The sequence below is a fragment of the Homo sapiens genome, chromosome 2 (assembly GCF_000001405.40).
Source record: "Homo sapiens chromosome 2, GRCh38.p14 Primary Assembly".
NCBI classification, from domain to species: domain Eukaryota; kingdom Metazoa; phylum Chordata; class Mammalia; order Primates; family Hominidae; genus Homo; species Homo sapiens.
Window position 1 is genome coordinate 18,661,521 of NC_000002.12, and position 18,738 is coordinate 18,680,258.

General features: G+C 37.8%; 1 long non-coding RNA gene across 10 annotated transcripts in view, besides 1 other annotated feature; it reads left to right on the plus strand.

Moving 5' to 3' along the window:
* The window catches only part of LOC105373456 (uncharacterized), a 529,181-nt gene that overhangs the window by 101,345 nt on the left and 409,098 nt on the right, over positions 1-18,738 (plus strand). Inside the window, exons 4-5 of one of the 10 annotated variants that reach the window (XR_007086231.1) lie at positions 3,504-3,595; positions 17,489-17,606. The exons of the other annotated variants lie outside the window; for them this stretch is intronic. This is a non-coding gene — a long non-coding RNA (uncharacterized LOC105373456). The remainder of the gene's footprint in view (positions 1-3,503; positions 3,596-17,488; positions 17,607-18,738) is intronic. 10 annotated transcript variants of the gene reach the window in all.
* Positions 3,208-4,407: an enhancer, noted in NCBI's record as "CDK7 strongly-dependent group 2 enhancer chr2:18845994-18847193 (GRCh37/hg19 assembly coordinates)". NCBI's record gives its function as "activates an origin of replication core promoter dependent on BRD2, BRD4, P300/CBP, MED14 and CDK7 cofactors, with strong dependence on CDK7, by STARR-seq in HCT116 cells {active_cell/tissue: HCT116}" and the evidence as "EXISTENCE:reporter gene assay evidence [ECO:0000049][PMID:35650434]".

Below are 18,738 nucleotides of genomic sequence, written 5' to 3' on the forward strand. Positions count from 1 at the left end.
TTATGCTCAATTCTGAGTTTACAGAAGTAAATTTGATGTATATCTTGCCATCAAGGGGCTTGTAGTCTCATGTGAAAAACAAACATGCACACAAACAAGTAAAAGATAATTTTTGACATTGTTTTCTTAGAAGTCTATATTTGGAAGAATGAGGCTACAAAGGGGCAAGAGGGGAAATTTACAGGTGACATGTGTGCTAAGTCTTGAAAATTGAGGAGATATTCCTCCGGTAATAAAATCCACGCAAAAAGAGCAACCGAGCAATGCATGGACTCTTAAAAGGACACGACAGTTGGGGGAAGCAGGAAGCAGGTTGAAATGAGTGGATCACTGAGTTTGGCCTAGTGAGAGATGGCACATCCACAGAGGGACATCTGATCCATCAATCCTGGCAGGGTTTGCATGCTGCGGTGAAAATTTATAAGTAAAAAAAAAAAAGAAAAAATGAAATTCAGAGCTTATGCATCTTTTTTTTTTTTAAAGTGACAAAAGGGTATTTAATGATATAAGTTAGTTTTGAAAGAAAAATTATTCTGTCACTAATATACATCCAGGACATCCGTGACTATGATCTGTCATGTGGTGAAAATAGAATTTTAAGGTGAAATTCTAGGAAGAAATCAAAGCTTTGTGTTAATGTCAGCAAACCAATAATAAATGTGGATCCTAAAGTTTGGGATTCATGTTGGTTTTGGCTCTTACACAACAAAACAATAAAACCAAGCAACACAAAGTTGGGGTAGGCATGATGGATGGAGCAGTAGACTGCAGGGCCAGAGACTGAAATCTGCTCCTGGTTCTGCTACCAAAACACTCGATGGATTGAGGCAGTTTCTTGACCATTTCAGGACCTCAGTTTCTTCATTTTATGTTTCCCCTTGGCAACACTTATTATACTTGCCATGATTCATGTGTGTATATTCCACTAGATTCTAAGGTCCAAGAGCACAGGAGACATGTGCTGAAAGTGACTTGTTTTCTGCATGTTTTTGGAGCCCTGTCAGCTCAGGCGTGTGAATATGTTTCCAAGGCTTCAGGCTTCAGTTTTTGCTTTATTTATGACTTCATGTTACAGGTTCCTTCCTTCCTTCCTCCCTTCCTTCCTTCGTTCCTTCTTTCCTTTCTTTTTTTCTTTTTTTTGATACTGTGATATCCTCTATAGAAGAGAGACTGAAATGTACCATTCTCTTTCCTGGTTGCCTCTGAGAGGGTGAATGGAAGCTGGGCTTTCTCCATGGGGTTCTAAAGAGTTTGGACACGTGGATTCAGAGGCGTCTTTGGATGATCCTACAGGGCTCTTAAACATCTCCCTGTGGAAGAGAGCAGTCCATGCTGCCAACTCCCAGATTCTCATCCTGGGAGACTGGGAGAATACCCTGTGTCATTTCCTGTTCCTCGTGTGCTGCCAATACACATGCAGGTATGAACTCTCGTTAAACCTGGGGTCACCTCAGCATTGAAAAAGCCAAACCCTGGTTTCCTCTGAATATAACAATTTAATTACTAAAATCAAAATATGACTGATATTTCCGCATTAATAATTCCTCCCAACCATGTAAAGCCAGACAGAATTCAAAGTACTGGGTGAATTGACTTAACATACACACAACAATGAGAATGATGCAAACTCATAAAAACATATTACTGTGTCTTACATATCAATAATTGATAAGTATAATACAAACTCTTGGTCTTAAAAAGTTTGGATCTGTAAGCTATGTATTGGACCCTCCCAAAATATATGAAAGTTTTCAGAATGATAAGAAATCCACAGTCAGTTGTTTGCACTGGCATTTACAGTGCAAATTTAACAGCTACTTTTTTTGTGTGTTTATATAAAAGAAGATTGCTTATAAAAGTAAGTATTTGTTTGGGAAATAATAAGCTTAAAAAGAATAAAATTGCTGCACTCAGCCTTCCCCCTGGCTTTTCTCCTCTGTCTCTGTGGGTTAGAAAAAGTGAAGCTGTCAGGAGTAAGCAGACTCCTATTGTGCTCAGTGGAAATAGCATGTTTTTTTTTTTTTTTTTTGCATCCTTTTTGTAGTTGATAGTTACACTGGGTTTTGGACCCAGGAATGCTTCAAAAAATATTTGCTGAATGAATGGAATGCCTACAATGTCTGCTGACATGTAAGATCTTTAGCTAGGTGACCTGGGAATTAGGCATTGTAGATTAATTCATACAATGCATTATTTGAAAAATTTGCTCCCTGTTGAAGAAATCAGGCAAGAGAACCTGAGATAGCAAAGACAAGGGCTGCCACTCCAGTCAACCTCATCTCTCCATCAGCTAGGGGAAGGGTGGCACAGAGAGGATGTGGTGTATGTATGTGTGTATGTGTGAATGCATATGTGGTGCGAGTGTAGAAGTGCATGACACGTGTGTAATGTGCAGAGGCAGCTTACTCTAGGGAGAAAGAAATTGGAATCCGATGCTTTTTGTATTGCCACTTTCCCTCAGAAATCAGAAGTACAAACATCTGTAATGTGTCAGGGAATGCAGACATTTGAACATGTCTGGTTTTGATATTATTAAATGACCAATTTATTAAAGTAATTGAAGGGATGAAAGTGTGGCTCTCCCTACTTTACAGATAAGCTGAGATTGAAGTGTGAGATGGTACAGTCTAGCCAGGTTAGAATTGGATGACCTGCTGCTGATGAGAGGTAGTTGAAAAATAGTTCTACTTTGTTTTATTGTCTACTTTATATTATCAGAACTTCTGGGAGAGAAGAGTTATAGATAACAAAAGTGACATAAACCGTGTGCCTAAAAAGCCCCTGTCAAAAGGCATGAGATGCTTCTTTGGGCATATCACATTTCATTTAGCAAGATTCTCTCTTAGAGTGTCTGAAAAAATATACAGGAAGGCCTCATATGTACTTTTAACACACGGTCTGTAGAGAGGAGTTTAATCAAAGGTGCAGCAAATAGTACTTAGAAATGAAAGAGTACTTAGAAATGAAGAGCTCACCAAAGTTCAGCCTTTCCAGTGTTTAAAGGATCATTTATGACCTTGAGAAGGGCAGATGTTTTCTTACTTTTGGAACTTCTTTAGACAGATGACAGATGTGGTCTTGCAGTAACAGGTTCATTCATGCAGTGTGGTCATTGAGAAAGGACCTCGTCATCAGGGAGGCCTGGGCTAACATTTTGGCTTAATCATTTAACAGCAGAGTGGTAAAAATGGATTTTATCTGTGTCTGAATCTCAGTTCTGTTGCCTGCAAAATGAAAATAATATACCTGTCATATAGTTTTGTGAGATTTAAAGGAGATAATACAAATTAAAAAGCTTAATACAATGCCCGGTAAGTGCTCAATAATGATTCACTTTTATAGTTTTAATCATACATCATCAAATCTAAGACATCAACAATGATAACTTGACCACCAGATTTAATGATAACATGGGGGGGTATAGCTTAAATATGCCATTTTTATTATATGTTTAACCATTAATATACTCGAATCCATATAATAACTATTAATTTCCTCTTTAGGCTCAACATCAACATTTGAGGTGAATCCGCAAGTATGCAGTCCAAACTTTCTCTGAATCAATTTGGCCGCTAGGGATTATAGAGAATACCAGGTGACATTCTCCTTTCTTAACTCCTGCTTGTTATCTTAACACAGCACCTTTACTACTGACAGTAAAATTTGAGGTTTGTCATAGGAGACCAAGTTACCTTTTTCTTTGCATCAATTGAATTACCTCCCACAGGAAGTCTAGTAGTCTCTTTTGAGAGAAGCCAGAACATTTCTGACAAATTTCTGATGCTTGAAAGACAGTACTTTGTGTCTGGGAGGGTGTAGAAGAGATTGGGAGTTAGTTTGTTTACCTGTCTGTCATCCTGTCTTGGGCCCAAACTACTGCTCTGTCCCCACTGTCTTTCTAGCATGAAAAAGCTTTGCTGATTTTGAAAACTATAGAATTTTACTGACATTCGTTGAATTGTCTGACATGTGACAAGCAATCTACTTACATTTTAAGCAAACAAAAAATACTTTTCTTTCAGTGTTGCTTTATAGTATAATTATCAATTTTTTTTTTGAGACGGAGTCTCGCTCTGTTGCCCAGGAGTACAGTGGCACGATCTTGGCTCACTGCAAGCTCCGCCTCCCGCGTTCACGCCATTATCCTGCCGAGTAGCTGGGACTACAGGCACCTGCCACCACGCCCGGCTAATTTTTTTTTGTATTTTTAGTAGAGACGGGGTTTCACCATGTTAGCCATGATGGCTTTGATATACTGACCTCGTGATCCACCCACCTCTGCCTCCCGAAGTCCTGGGATTACAGGCTTGAGCCACCATGCCGGGCCTAATCTTCAAATATTTTAAGCAACAATTGGTGTTACAAATGTAAGCTTAAATCTGATTGTGTGTGATGGTATCGGTGAAAATGACTACCTAGAGATGACTTATGATAAACAGATACCTTGTAGTTGAGCTGTATTCACAGATGAGCAAGCAATGAAAACTCTCTCACAATCATCACTCTGAGTAATTACTAACAAGTTGCTTTTGACAATCAGTTGTAAGTTGTGTTCAGTTTTAAAAACAACAAACTATTTTGAAGTACACAATGCTGTATACATTTATGATAACATCACATTGTACCCTATAAATATATGCAATTATAATTTGTCAATTACAAAATAATAATAATTTTTAGAAAGAAAACAAAAAGATCCAACTGTGTCTTCTAAATTGAAAAAAATAAAAGAAATATGGTGTTATTAATGGCATCTCTAGCTTATTCTAATTCTCATATATGACATTTCCTCAAATGTTTATCCTCCATAAGGAAAATCCACGTGGATATACACACTTGATCCCTGAATAACTCCAGGGTTCAGGGTTAGGAACACTGACCCCTCTCTACCAAGTTGTCAACACTCCACACGTTAACTTTTGACTCCTTAAAATATTAGTTAATAACACCCTACTTTTGACTGGAAGACTTATTAATAATATAAACAGTTGATTAACATGAATATTGTATGTTACATATATTATATACTATATTCTTACAATAAAGTGAGCTAGAGGAAAGAAAATCTTATGAAGATAATTATAAGGAAGAGCAAATATACTTACTATTCATTAAGTGGAAGTGGATCATTATGGAGGTTTTCATTCTTGCTGTCATCATGTTGAGTAACTGAGAAGGAGAAGGAAGAGGAGGGGTTCGTCTTCTTGTCTCAAGGGTGGCAAAAGAAGAGGTGGAGGAGGTGGAAGGGGAGTCAGGAGAGGCAAGAACACTCTGTGTAACTTTTATTGAAAAAAATCCACTTAGAGTGGACCTGAATGGTTGAAATCCATTTTGTTCAAGTGTCAACTATGTATGTATGTATTTGTTTGTTTGTTTTGTTTTATTTTCTTCTGTGCTTCTGCAATAGCTCACTCTACTTGATTTCTTTTCTGTTACAGTACTTGGCTAGCATATCCATAGAGACAGGCCCATTAGCCTCTTTGAGAAATTGAACTTTGGAAGCAGTGCACCACATTAGTGTAGACACAAGAATGAATGATTCTTTTGCAAGCAGATTGCAGCTTAAATTTCATCTCTTGCCATTTGGTGCTTCTGTGGCTTTGGTCAAATCACTTGATCTCTTGTGAACCTGTTTTCTCATCTGTAAAATTGTTATAGTTTGCATTTTGGGGGGTTATATTTGGCCTATATGCTCTACGATTAGATTGTTTCTCCAGTTGCTTGTGTAGATCTGGGTGTGGTACCCAATAAATTGTAACTTTAAGATTATTGCCATAAATTATTAAAATAATAGCATATATGCCTGCTACTTTGTAGTTTACAAAATGTTTCATTGAACACTAGCTTAAGTTTTGTGACATTACTGTGAGACAGAGTAGTATAATTTTATTAAATGACACAAGATTTGATTTAAAAACACAACTCCTTACTTTTAGTGCAATCATCTTTTCCTTCCTCCTTACCTCTTTTAGTGCAAAATTGACTATTATTTTGAGCAATTAAAAGCTTTATTTGATGCAGATCTGTTTTTATATTTGTTGTATTGTTTCAGTCTAAGTAATTTTTGAGCAAAGGTAGTTTGCTATCAAATAGGAAACTGCAGGTATGTGTTGGTATTATTTAGGCCCAAGAAACATTCAAGGAACTTTACTTGCAGTGAGTTAGGTATTTCAAGAAAGGGCTACTAGGCCTTCACAGTGCAAAGTAGAGGTGAACAGGCTGGGGTGGGAGTTGTGGATAAGAGGAATGTATCCAGGGTCACCTCACTTAGCCCTGTACATAAGACTACCAGAATAGTACTGATATGGTTTGGCTATGTCCCCACCCAAATCTCACCTTGAATTGTAATAATCCCCACATGTCAAGGGCGGGGCCAGGTGGATTGAATTGAATCATGGGGGCAGTTTCCCCTATACTGTTCTTGTGGTAGTGAATAAGTCTCATGAAATCTGATGGTTTTATAAATGGGAGTTCTCCTGCACAATCTCTTTTGCCTGCCACCATGTAAGAGGTGCCTTTCTCCTCGTTTGCCTTCTGCCATGATTGTGAGGCTTCCCCAGCCATGTGGAACCATGAGTCCATCAAACCTCTTTTTTCTTTTTTTTGTAAATTACCCAGTCTCAGGTATGTCTTTATTAGCAGTGTGAGAACTGACTAATACAAGTATCCTGTGAATTTAAAACCTACTTTTAAACCTCTGTGAGGTAATGTTGCAACTAGATATTTTTTTCCTGTCATCTAACCCTAAACTTTTGGTACTCCATGATCCAAGTGCGATCTCAGGCCTCAAGCCTGAATGAGTCTCAGCCCTGGAATCACTAGTTGATTTTCTATGTGCAAAGTTCAAGCAAAGTGCAGGGTTTTTGGAATCCAGCTTTGGTGCATCTCATCCTGTAACTATGATATATGATAAAAGGAAAAATTGCAGCCAAACTTGACTATGTTCAAAGCAAGGTGCCAGTGAAACGATGGGATGGAAAATAAGTCCTAAAGGATTAATGGCCCATGATAAATGTTTTATTATAAGAGCTTGTGAATGATTAGATAATTCTTACTTCCAAGAGTAGAATTTAAATATTTCTGCCTGGCTTGTTACCAAAGTAAATAAATCACTTAACTATCTGGTTAATAGTCGAATCTTTATGCGCAAAAATAAAATATAGGAAAGGTAATTTTTTCTTGTCAATAATCAGTCTAACTTATTCACTGCTTATTTTTTAAATGATATTTACTGCTAGTTGAACCAACTAAGAAAATAAAAACACTTTCAGTAAATTATAAAAGATATTCTATTTGACACCTATCCATTTAACAAAATAAAAATAAAGTATAGTGAGGAATATTCTGGCTGCTGTAGTTGTTAGTAGAAATCAAACATTTAATGAAATAGTTTTCTCATTTGTGAAAGTATTTATAACTATTCCAGGACAATTCTCCCCTCACTAACACCCACACGATTCCCACTGAGTGTAACATGTGCCTCTTTGAGGGTAGAATCCAAATATGGTGTCCATTTGAGCTAATTTTCTTCTCAATGTGCTGAGGTCAGATTCTCTTGGACAACCTTATGAATCCAATTGATATTTTTAATAGCCTGGAAGCTTATATACCTATTGATTTAAGCCTGAGGAAAAAATAGAGGAAAAAATATTGCTCACTTAATCGGAAAGTGTGGTTGAAATGCCTCTTGTACCTGGATCAGTGATTTGGTTTTACTGGCTTTCACTCAACTCTTTCTTGTCATTTTCAGATACAACTATTATAAAGAACAACTGTTTTGTTCTGATCATGTTTTTACACATTGCATGTTATCTTCCTCCTAAGACACTTCAGAGCTTTAAAAGGACCATTGGGAACCTCGGCATAAGGCACATCTGGGAGTATCTTTTGTCTTTTGAATCAACATAATCAAGAAGTATTTCATAATAGGTACTACAGAGTCTTTGAAATGAACTAGTAGGTTGTGAAAGTCCTTTGTAAACTCAGAAGTGGTTTTTTAAAAATGTTTTTATTTCAATAGCTTTACAAGTGGTTTTTTGTTACTTGGATGAATTGTATAGTGGCAAAGTCTAAGGTTTTAGTGTACACATCATCCAAATAGTGTACACTATACCGAACAGGTCGTTTTTCCTCCCTTACTCCCCATCCACCCTCCTCCCTTCTGAGTCTCCAGTGTGCATTATACCACTCTGTATGCCTTTATGTACCCATAGCTTAGTGCCCACTTATGAGGGAGAACGTGCAGTATTTGGTTTTTGATTTTTGAATTACTTCTCTTAGAATAACGGTCTCCAGTTCCATTCAAGTTGCTGCAAGATACATTATTTCATTCTTTTTAAGGCTAGGTAGTATTCCATGGTATGGAATTGGTATGGAATACTACATTTTTATGGCTAGGTAGTATTCCATGGTATGGAATACTACATTTTCTTTATCCACTCATCGGTTAATGAGCATTTCGGTTGATCCTATATCTTTGCAATTGTGAATTATGCTGTGATAAACATATGCGTGTAGCTGTCTTTTTTATTTAGTGACTTCTTTTCTTTGGGGTAACTACCCAGTAGTGTGATTGCTGGATGAAATGTTAGATTTGCTTTTTGTTTTTTTGAGAAATTTCCATACTGTTTTCCATAGGAGTTGTGCTAATTTACATTCTCACCAGCAGTGTATAAACATTCCTTTTTCACCACATCCACACCAACATCTATTGTTTTTGACTTTTTAATAATGGTCATTCTGGCTGGGGTAAGGTGATATATCATTGTTGTTTTAATTTGCATTTCCTTGATGATTAGTGATGTTGAGCATTTTTAAAAATCTTTATTGGCCATTGTATATCTATTCACGTCTTTTGCTCACTTTTTAATGGGATTATTTGTTGTTTTCTTGCTGACGTGCTTGAGTTCCTTGTAGATTCTGGATATTAGTCCTTTGTCAGTAGCATAATTTCCAAGTATTTTCTCCCATTCTGTAGGTTGTCTGTTTGTTTGTTTGTTTGTTTGTTTGTTTGTTTTTGAGTCAGTGTCTCGTTCTGTCTGGATCACCCAGGCTGGAGTGCAGTGGCGTGATCTCGGCTCACTGCAACCTCCGCCTCCTGGGTTCAAGCGATTGTCTTGCCTCAGCCTCTTCAGTAGCTGGGACTACAGGTGTGTGCCACCAGCTCAGCTAATTTTTTGTATTTTTAGTAGAGATGGAGTTTCACCGTGTTAGCCAGGATGATCTCCATCTCCTGACCTCATGATCCACCTGCCTCAGCCTCCCAAAGTGCTGTGATTACAGGCGTGAGCCACCATGCCTGGCCCAGGTTGTCTGTTTATTCAAAAGATTATTTCTTTCACTGTGCAGCTTTTTAGCTTAATAAGGTCTCACTTATTTATTTTTGTTTTTGTTAGCATTTGCTTTTGGGATCTTAGTCATAAATTCTCTGCTTAGGCCAATGTCCAGAAGTTTTACTTAGGTTTCATTCCAGAATTTATGTGGTTTAAGGTCTTATATTTGAATCCATCTTGAGTTAACTTTTGTGTATGGTGAGAGATAGAGATGCAGTTTCATTCTTCTACATGTAGCTATCCAAACTTCCCAGAACCATTAATTGAATAGGATGTCCTTTCTCCAATTGATGTTTTTGTATGCTTTGTCAAATCTCAATTGGTTGTAAATGTTTGGATTTATTTCTAGATTCTCTATTCTGTTCCATTGATCTATGTGTCTACTTTTATACCAGTACCGTGCTGTTTGGGTATTTATAGCCTTGTAGTATAATTTGAAGTTGGGTAATATGATGCCTCCAGATTTATTCTTTTGGCTTAGTATTGCTTTGGCTATTTGGGCTCTTTTTTGGTTCCCTATAAACCAAAAAATATTATTTTTTCTTTTTAGAAATTAGAAATAACAATCTTAATTGTTAATGATGTTGGTATTTTCATAGGAATTGCATTGAATCTGTAAATTGCTTTGGGCAGTATAAAAAATGATGTTGGTATTTTCATAGGAATTGCATTGAATCTGTAGATTGCTCTGGGCAGTATAGTCATTCTTATGAAATTGATTCTTCCAACTCATAAACATGGAATGTATTTCCATTTGTTTGTGTCATTTATGACTTCTCTCAGCAGTGTTTTATAGTTTTTTTTTTGTAGAGAGCTTTGATTTCTTTGGATAAGTATATTCCTAGTATATACTTTTTAATTTGATGCTTAGCTTGGGCATTGTTGGTGTATAGCAGTGCTACTGACTTGTGTACATTGGTTTTGTTATCTGAGGCTTTGCTGAATTCATTAATCAGATCTAGGACTCTTTTGGAGGAGTCTTGAGGGTTTTCTAGGTATAAGATTTTATCGTTGGCAGACAGCAATAGTTTGACTTTTTCTTTTCCAATTTGGATGCCATTTATTTTGTTTTTCTTGCCTGATTGTTCTGGCTAGGACTTCCAGTACTATGTTGAAAAGAAGTGGTGAAAGTGGGGATCCTTGTCTTCTTCCAGTTCTCAGGGAGAATGCTTTCAACTTTTCTCCATTCAGCATGATGTTGGCTGTGGGTTTGTCATGTATGGCTTTTACTATTTTTAGGTATGTTTCTTCTATGCCCAGTTTGTTGAGAGTTTGTATCATAGAGGAATGCCAGATTTTATCAAAGACTTTTCTTTGTCTATTGAGATGATCATATGTTTTTTGTTTTAAATTCTTTTTATGTTTGCTGAGAATGATGGTTTCCAGCTTCATCCATGTCCCTACAAAGGACATGAACTCATCATTTTTATGGCTGCATAATATTCCATGGTGTATATGTGCCAAATTTTCTTAATCCAGTCTATCATTGTTGGACATTTGGCTTGGTTCCAAGTCTTTGCTATTGTGAATGGTGCCGCAATAAACATATGTGTGCATGTGTCTTTGTAGCAGCATGATTTATAATCCTTTGGGTATATACCCAAAACTATCGCAAGGACAAAAAACCAAACACCGCATGTTCTCACTGATAGGTGGGAACTGAACAATGAGAACACATGGACACAGGAAGGGGAACATCACACACCGGGGCCTGTTGTGGGGTGGGGGGAGTGGGGAGGGATGGCTTTAGGAGATATACCTAATGTTAAATGACGAGTTGGTGGGTGCAGCACACCAACATGGCACATGTATACATATGTAACTAACCTGCACGTTGTGCACATGTACCCTAAAACGTAAAGTATAATAAAAAAATTCTTTTTATGTGATGAATCACATTTATTGACCTGCATATGTTGAATCATCCATGGAATAAAACCCACTTTATAATGGTCAATTTTTTTGATGTGCATTGAATTCAGTTTGCTATTATTTTGTTGAGAAATTTTGTGTATATATTCATAAGAGATACTGGTGTGTAATTTTCTTTTTTTGTTATGTTCTTTTCTGGCTTTTGTATCATGGTGATACTGCCTTCATAGAATGAGTTAGGAAGGATTCCCTCCTACATCTTTTGGAATAGTTTTAGTAGAATTAGTACCAATTCTTCTTTGTCTGGAAGAATTTGTGAATCCGTCTGGCTCTGGGCTTTTTTTGTCAGATTTTTAAAATTTTTAAAAAATTCCTGAGTCAATCTCACTGCTTGTTATGGTCTGTTAAGTGTTTCTGTTTATTTCTGATTCAAGTTAAGGGGGATGTATGTTTCCAAGGGTTATCCATTTCCTCTGGATTTTCTAGTTAGCGTGCAGAGAGCTGTGGTATTTATAGTAGTCTCAAATCCTCTTTTGTATTTCTGTGGCATCAGTTATAATGTCTCCATTTTAATTTTTAATTGGGCTTATTTGAATCTTCTGTCTTCATTTCCTGGTGAACATAGATAGTTTTGTTTATCTTTTCAGATAACCACCTTTTTATTTCATTGATTTTTTGTTTTGTTTGGTTTTTTGATTTCAATTTTCTTTGGTTCTGCTCTGATCTTCGTTATTTCTTTTCTTTCGCTACCTTTGGGTTTGGTTTGCTCTTATTCCTCTAATTCCTTGAGGTGTGAAGTTAGGTTGTCAATTTGTAATCTTTCAGACTTTTTTAATGTAGTCATTTAGTGCTATAAACTTTCCTTTTAGCAGTGCTTTTGCTGTATCCCAGAGGTTTTTATAACTTTCATCACTGTTATCATTCATGTTATTAATTTCATTGTTAACCAAGAAATCATTCAGAAGCATATCATTCAATTTCCATGTATTTGTACAGTTTTCAGGGTTCCTTTTCAAATTTATTTCTAGTTTTATTCCACTGTGGTCTGAGAAGATATGTGATATGATTTTGATTTTTTAAAATTTATTTGTTCCAGAGTGCAGTATAAGTCCAATGTTTGTTGTCTTTCTGCCTCAATGATCTGTCTAATATTGTCAGTAGAGTGCTGGTGTCTCCCACTATTTTTGTGTTACTGCCTATTTCTTTTCCTAGGTCTGGTGGTAATTGCTTTATAAATCTGGGAGCTCTGGAGTTAGGTGCATATATATTTAGGATTGCTATAACTTCTTGTTAAATTGATCTTTTTATCATTATAAAATGATCTTCTTTGTTTTGTTTTACTGTTGATGCTTTAAAATGTGTTTTATCTGATATAAAAGTAGCTATTATTGCTCGCTTTTGGTTTCCATTTCTGTGAAATATCTTTTTCTACCCCTTTACCTGAAGTCTATAAGAATCCTTATGTATCAAGTGTGTCTCCTGAAGACAGTAGATATTTGATTTGTGGTTTTTTAAATCCATTCTGCCAATCTGTATCTTTTAAGTGGAGCATTTAACATTCAATGTTAATATTGAGATGTGAGATACTGTTCCAGTCATTATGTCAATTGTTACCTAGTGACTTTGTTTTCATCATTGTGTTATTGTTTTATAAGCCCTCTGAATTTTATGCTTTCAGGAATTTCTCTTCTGGTGTATGTCAACCTTTTGTTTCAAGATTTAGAAGTCCTTTTAACATTTCTTGTAGGACTGGTCAAGTATTGACAAATTCCTTCAGTATTTGCTAATCTGGGAGAGACATTTTTCTCCTTAATTTATGAAACTTAGTTTTTCTGGAGACAAAATTCTTGACTGACAGTGATTCTGTTTAAGGAGACTAAAGATGTGATCCAAATCCCTTATGGCTTGGAAGGTTTCTGCTGAGAAATCTGCTGTTAGTCTGCTGTTAGGTTTTTCTTTTGCAGGTTATCTGATGCTTTTATCCCATTGCTCTTAGAGTTCTTCCCTCCAGATTGATTTTAGATAGCCTGATGACTATATGCCTTGGTGATGTCCTTTTTGCAATGAGTCTCCCACAAGTTATTTGAGCTTCTTGTGTTTTGATGTCTGAATCTCTATCAAGACCAGGGAAGTTTTCCTCAATTATTCACTTAAATAGGTTGTCCAAACATTTTGGTTTTTCTTCTCTCTCAGGAACGACTATAATTCTTAGGTTTGGCAGTTTAACATGATCCCATATTACTTGGATACCTTTGTTAATTTATTTTAGTTATTTTTTCATTATTTTTGCCTGATTGAGTTAATTCAAAAGCCTTGCCTTTGAGTTCTGAAATTCTTTCTTCTACTTGGTTTAGTCCATTGTTTAAATTTTCCACTGCATTTTTTTTTTTTTTGAGATGGTGTCTCTCTCTGTTGCCCAGGCTGGAGTGCAGTGGCATGATCTCAGCTCACTGCAAGCTCCGCCTCCTGGGTTCATGCCATTCTCCTGCCTCAGCCTCCTGAGTAGCTGGGACTACAGGCGCCTGCCACCACGCCCGGCTAATTTTTTTGTATTTTTAGTAGAGATGGGGTTTCACTGTGTTATCCAGGATGGTCTCGATCTCCTGACCTTGTGATCCACCCATCTCGGCCTCCCACATTTTTTTTATTTCTGTAAATGTGTCTTTGATTTCCAGAAATTTTGATTGAGTTTTTTTAAATGTCATCTGTTTAGAAAATTTTTCATTCATATCCCAAATTTTTAACAAAGTTTTTTATGTTGTTTTTCACCTTTGTCTTATATCTCCTTGAATAATGTAATAATCAGCCTTTTGAATTATTTATCTAGTGTTTCAAAGTTTTCATCTTGGCTTGGGTCCACTGCTGGAAAGCTAGTGTGATCTTTTGGGGGTGTAATAGATCTTTATTTTCTTCATATTGCCAGAATTATTTTTCTGGTTTCTTCTCATTTGGGTAGACTATTTCTTCTAATTATAATTGAATTTGTTTTTTATTCAACTGGGTTTAAAAATTTTTTTTCTACTTGAGAATGCGACTTTAATGTTTATAGTTTGTTGTCACCTAACGTTGGCTCTGAGTGTTTTTATTGGCAGAAACTCTGTATGAGTTCTTGGTTATAGAGAATCTTTGTATGATGGCTTTCTCAGATGTTGGTTATAGTAGGTATGTACTGGATATGTGAGCAGGTTCACTGTCTCCTGTGGGGCTGGAATGCCAGAGGTCTAATAAAGCTTATCTTCTTCCCCAGTGGAGTGCATTTTAAACTTTTTTTTTCCCCAGTATCTTACTTGCTGGGTTGAACAGTTCAAAATTTAGGCCCGTAGGGGTTGCCCACAGGTAAAAACTGACTGTGGCTAAAACAGATGGGTAAATGCAATACCCCAATGATGGGCAGAAGTGGGCAGAGGTCTCAGCCTTGACAGAGGCAGTTGGGGAAGCTCTCAGTGAAATGCACTGTTCTTTTCAGGGGGAAGTGAGGGAGCCACCACAGCTGTCCTTCCAGACCAGCAAGAAAGCAATCACCAGTCACACTCCTGAATTGGTGTTCCAGTGATTCAGTCAGACAGGCACCTCTTTTCATCTACAGAAATGCTGATGTTCCACATAGATAGGGATTGTGTGACCTTGAACCTGGAGGACACTCCTCCTGTGGAAATACAGTCACCCTGAAGTGTTCTAGAAAGGCTATCTACTGATGCATCCATGCTGAACTCCCGTGGGAGAAGCCCCAACTCTGTCTGCAGTGGTGGGTGAGGGGTAGAAGTTTCCTTCTCTAAGACCCTTCATGAACACTGAGGCTGCCTGACTGTTGGGGTAGAATTGCAGACTTTCCCCATTGAGTCCAGCATTGCACCTTTGCTTCGGCTGAAAGAAACATCCCACAAGAGGAAAGTTCAGAGACTGAAGACCTACAGCCTGGTTTCTTCAGTTCCATGTAGTGCTCCCTTAATGTGATGCATTCCCCCTTTTTCTAGGAGTAGCAGTCCCTGAGACCAGACTACTGTGGATCCTGCTGCTATTCTGGGTCTCGCTGCCCACTGGGGCTGCCATATTTAGGCTGGTGCTGGGGAATGTCTGCAAGGGACTCAATGAGGTGACCTGTCTTCTAGTCTCCCAGTAGCAGGTACAAGCACCACCTCTCATTGGGGGAGGGTGAGGAATGACGTATACTCTGAGATTCTGAGATTTTCCTTATTACCAGTAGCCTTAATGTATTGGCTTTCTCAAATTCCAGCAGTAGTAGTAATGAACTAGGTTCATGGACAAACTCAAGACCTCCTGGTTAGGCAGGGTGATGCAGGCAATGGCAATACCTGAGGTCATGCAAAATTTTTTTTCTTCCTAAGTGCTATGCTATTGTGCCTGACGATGCTGTAATGGGCTCTGCTGGGTGGCTTCCAGCAAGGAGGTGGAACCTGCAAAGGAGCACTATCTGCAGTGGTAGCTGTGGAATTTATGCTTGCTTTATGTTACCCAGGGGAGGTACTCTGGTGTCTCGGGCAATGCGGTGAGGGTGGAGGGGATGGTCATGGAGCTCCCAAACATCCCTGTCCATTGTATTATGCTGCTAGGGCTGCTGGAGGGGCAAAGCCAGGTGGGAGCTGGGTCAGACAATCATACTCTGGCTCCCCACATATGTGTGCAAGCTGCAGCCCCAGTGGTGTTAACATGGCAGTTCTCTGGCTGCTGGGGTAATGTTCTAGAGAGAAGTGCAGCTGCCTCAGATACACAAAATAATCCTCATAGGGAGTGGTGTGTAGTAGGTGGAAGTATGCCCCATTCAGCTCCTACACACTTGTCAAGGCAGTTCTCACACCCATAGTGTTCTGCTAGCAGCAGATAGCTGGGTTCCAGGCAGCCTGTACTCAGAACTCAGAACTATCCCAGGCCATAAGCATTCCAGACGAAGACAGAAACTGTGGCTTTCAGGCCACGCCTCTCCTGGTCTGCCCATGAAGTAGGGGCATTCAGCTCCTGTGTGCATGACTGTAGCCACTTCCCACTTGCTCTTCAGTTCTGGCCAACAGGGCGCATCCCCACTCAAGACTATATCACAAATCTCAGTTGGAAGCTTCTCTCAACCTTTGACCGCTGCCTGAGTTAGCTGACAGACTTCCGAGAGGTCCTCTAGTAGGATCAAGAATGGCTTCCCTCCATCCCTGCTGGATTCTGGGAGTGCACACAAAGCATGTCCCAATGCTGTTCCTTCTTATATACTCCCTACTACTCACTAAATCAGCTCCAGTGCTAGGTAGGGTTAAGGCCTTTCTACCTAACCTGGATTTCCTGGCTCCCCTGTGGGAGTGTGTGTCACAGAGGCTCTCTCCTCTTCTCACACTCTGAAGACTCACAGTTTTCTATCTGGTTCACAGTGAAGGGTACTGCCTGCCATTTGTTTCAAAGGGTCTGTGGTTTCTTCTTAGTTTTTCTGTTAAATTCCCATGGTTCTTCTTGGAAAAAAGCTAACATTGTGAATCTCTACATACTACTGTGTCTTTCCAAGTAGAAGAGGCGTGCTAACAATGCCTCCATCTGCCATCTTGGGGAAAAAAACAAACAACAACAACAACAACAGAAACCTGAAATGTTTTAAAGATGACAAATGATAGCATCCTTATGCATTGTTCTGTGATCAAAATAATTGATAGTTAGACATTACATTGTTTAGCAGTGCATAGCACATAGTAGATGTTCATGCATTTTATTTTTTTAATAGACACCTCTTTGTTGTTTTTGTCACGTCAACAAAACCCATCTGATAAATGGCTCTAGTTTGTCACCATTTTCCTGAGCTGCCAAGCTAAAATTTGATGTTCTTACTTTCTGTTAACCAGAAATATGTTAGAAGAGAGTCTGGATTTGTCCAAAATCCGCAGCTGTGTTTCAGCCTTAAGGCTGAAGCTTCTACAGGAAAGTTCTGCAGTTTTTTTAGTGCAAAGACTTGCAGAGTTAACAAACTGTCATTTATTTAAAAATCAATCTGTATCTTGGAGATTGAATGTTTCAATTTTAATTGCTTAAATGTATAAAGAGAAGGGAAAATTAACAATATTAAAAATAGAATTCTCTTTCCCATTCTTTCCAATTTGCCTTTTTTAATAAAGTTAATTTTATGAAAATAATTTGAATTATATATGGTTTTTAACATTAGGATACTATTACATTTGCAAAGTGTCTCATGAATTGCTGATTAGAAAAACTGGATACCTGAAATTTTAAATACTCTTTATGAGACTGATAGATGGAAATGAAAATGTATGTTTATTTACATATGTGTTTCTTAGGGCCAGAAGCTGTATCACATACAAAGCAGTTTTCCCTTTCTGGAATCTCACTGTGGGACATTGTGGGAAATAAACAGTGGAAAAAATATATGGACTGTTCTGTGTTTCCCTTTGCAAGGTAAAGTGAGTTGAGTGGAGATCCCCAGTTGGTGTGATAAGGACTAAGATGGGGAAGGTGTAGTCCCTGGTGGGATTGAAGTCAGGTGTTGAGAGCAGGGGTTCATAACAAGAGTGCTTGGTACAGGATGAGGCTGGCTGGATGAACTGGTAGATTGGTAGATGGCCTTGTCTAAAGGCCAAATTAAATTTCTTCTCTGTCCCTTTCTCAAATCATAAAAAAAGTATTTGGATTATGAAACTGGCCATTCTTCTGTATGCCAATGTCTGGTTGAAGGGACTATTCAGTCTGAAAGGATATCCAGTGAGAGGGAACAAATTCATAACATTTTAGAACAAAACTAAAGTCTAAATATGATTGTATAGATGCATAATCAAGTTTAGAGGATTGAATACTCAAATACACATACACACACAATTAATTTCTTCACTAGAGAGCAAGTAACACATCATCTATTCCACTTTTAGTGAGACTGACTTAATGAGGTTGATACTGAATTGCAGTGCAGGTTTCATATAAGAAAGAGAAAGAGAGAACACATGTGTATTCAGCAGGTACTATATACTTAGCACTATGCTGGCCACTTTACCAGTGTTATTTTATTTTATTCTTATAATGAGCTTGTGGTTTATGAGGGATGGGCAATGTCCAGTTATGAGAAGAAAGGAAAAGAAGCTAAAAAATGTTGCTCAAATTCAGATGGCAGGTAGTTTTCAGATCCAAATTTGAGTCCTAGACTTATGCAGCCAAAACTAAGGGAATTTAAAAGCTCGGGTGAAGACTTTAAAAAATACGGTAATGTCTTTAATAGGTCTCAAATATGGTGTTCTTGCTTGTGAAATCTTGACATAGTCACATTTTACCTCTCTTTATCTGGAAGTTTCATTAGTGCCACTGATGAAAACATATGATTTATATTATCTCGTTTTGCAGCATCAGTACTTGGAGTAGAGCAGCAATATAGAAGAGAATTCTTGTGAAAATGCAAAGAAAGATAGTAGAAATTAGGTGTGTTTATGTGTTCATATATGAAGTTATATAAGATTTAATGCCCTCAAAAAGACGTACATTGTCCAATTTGTTCCTGTTTTCCTAGAGCTTGCACTGGCACGAATGTAGAGTCTTTTATAGG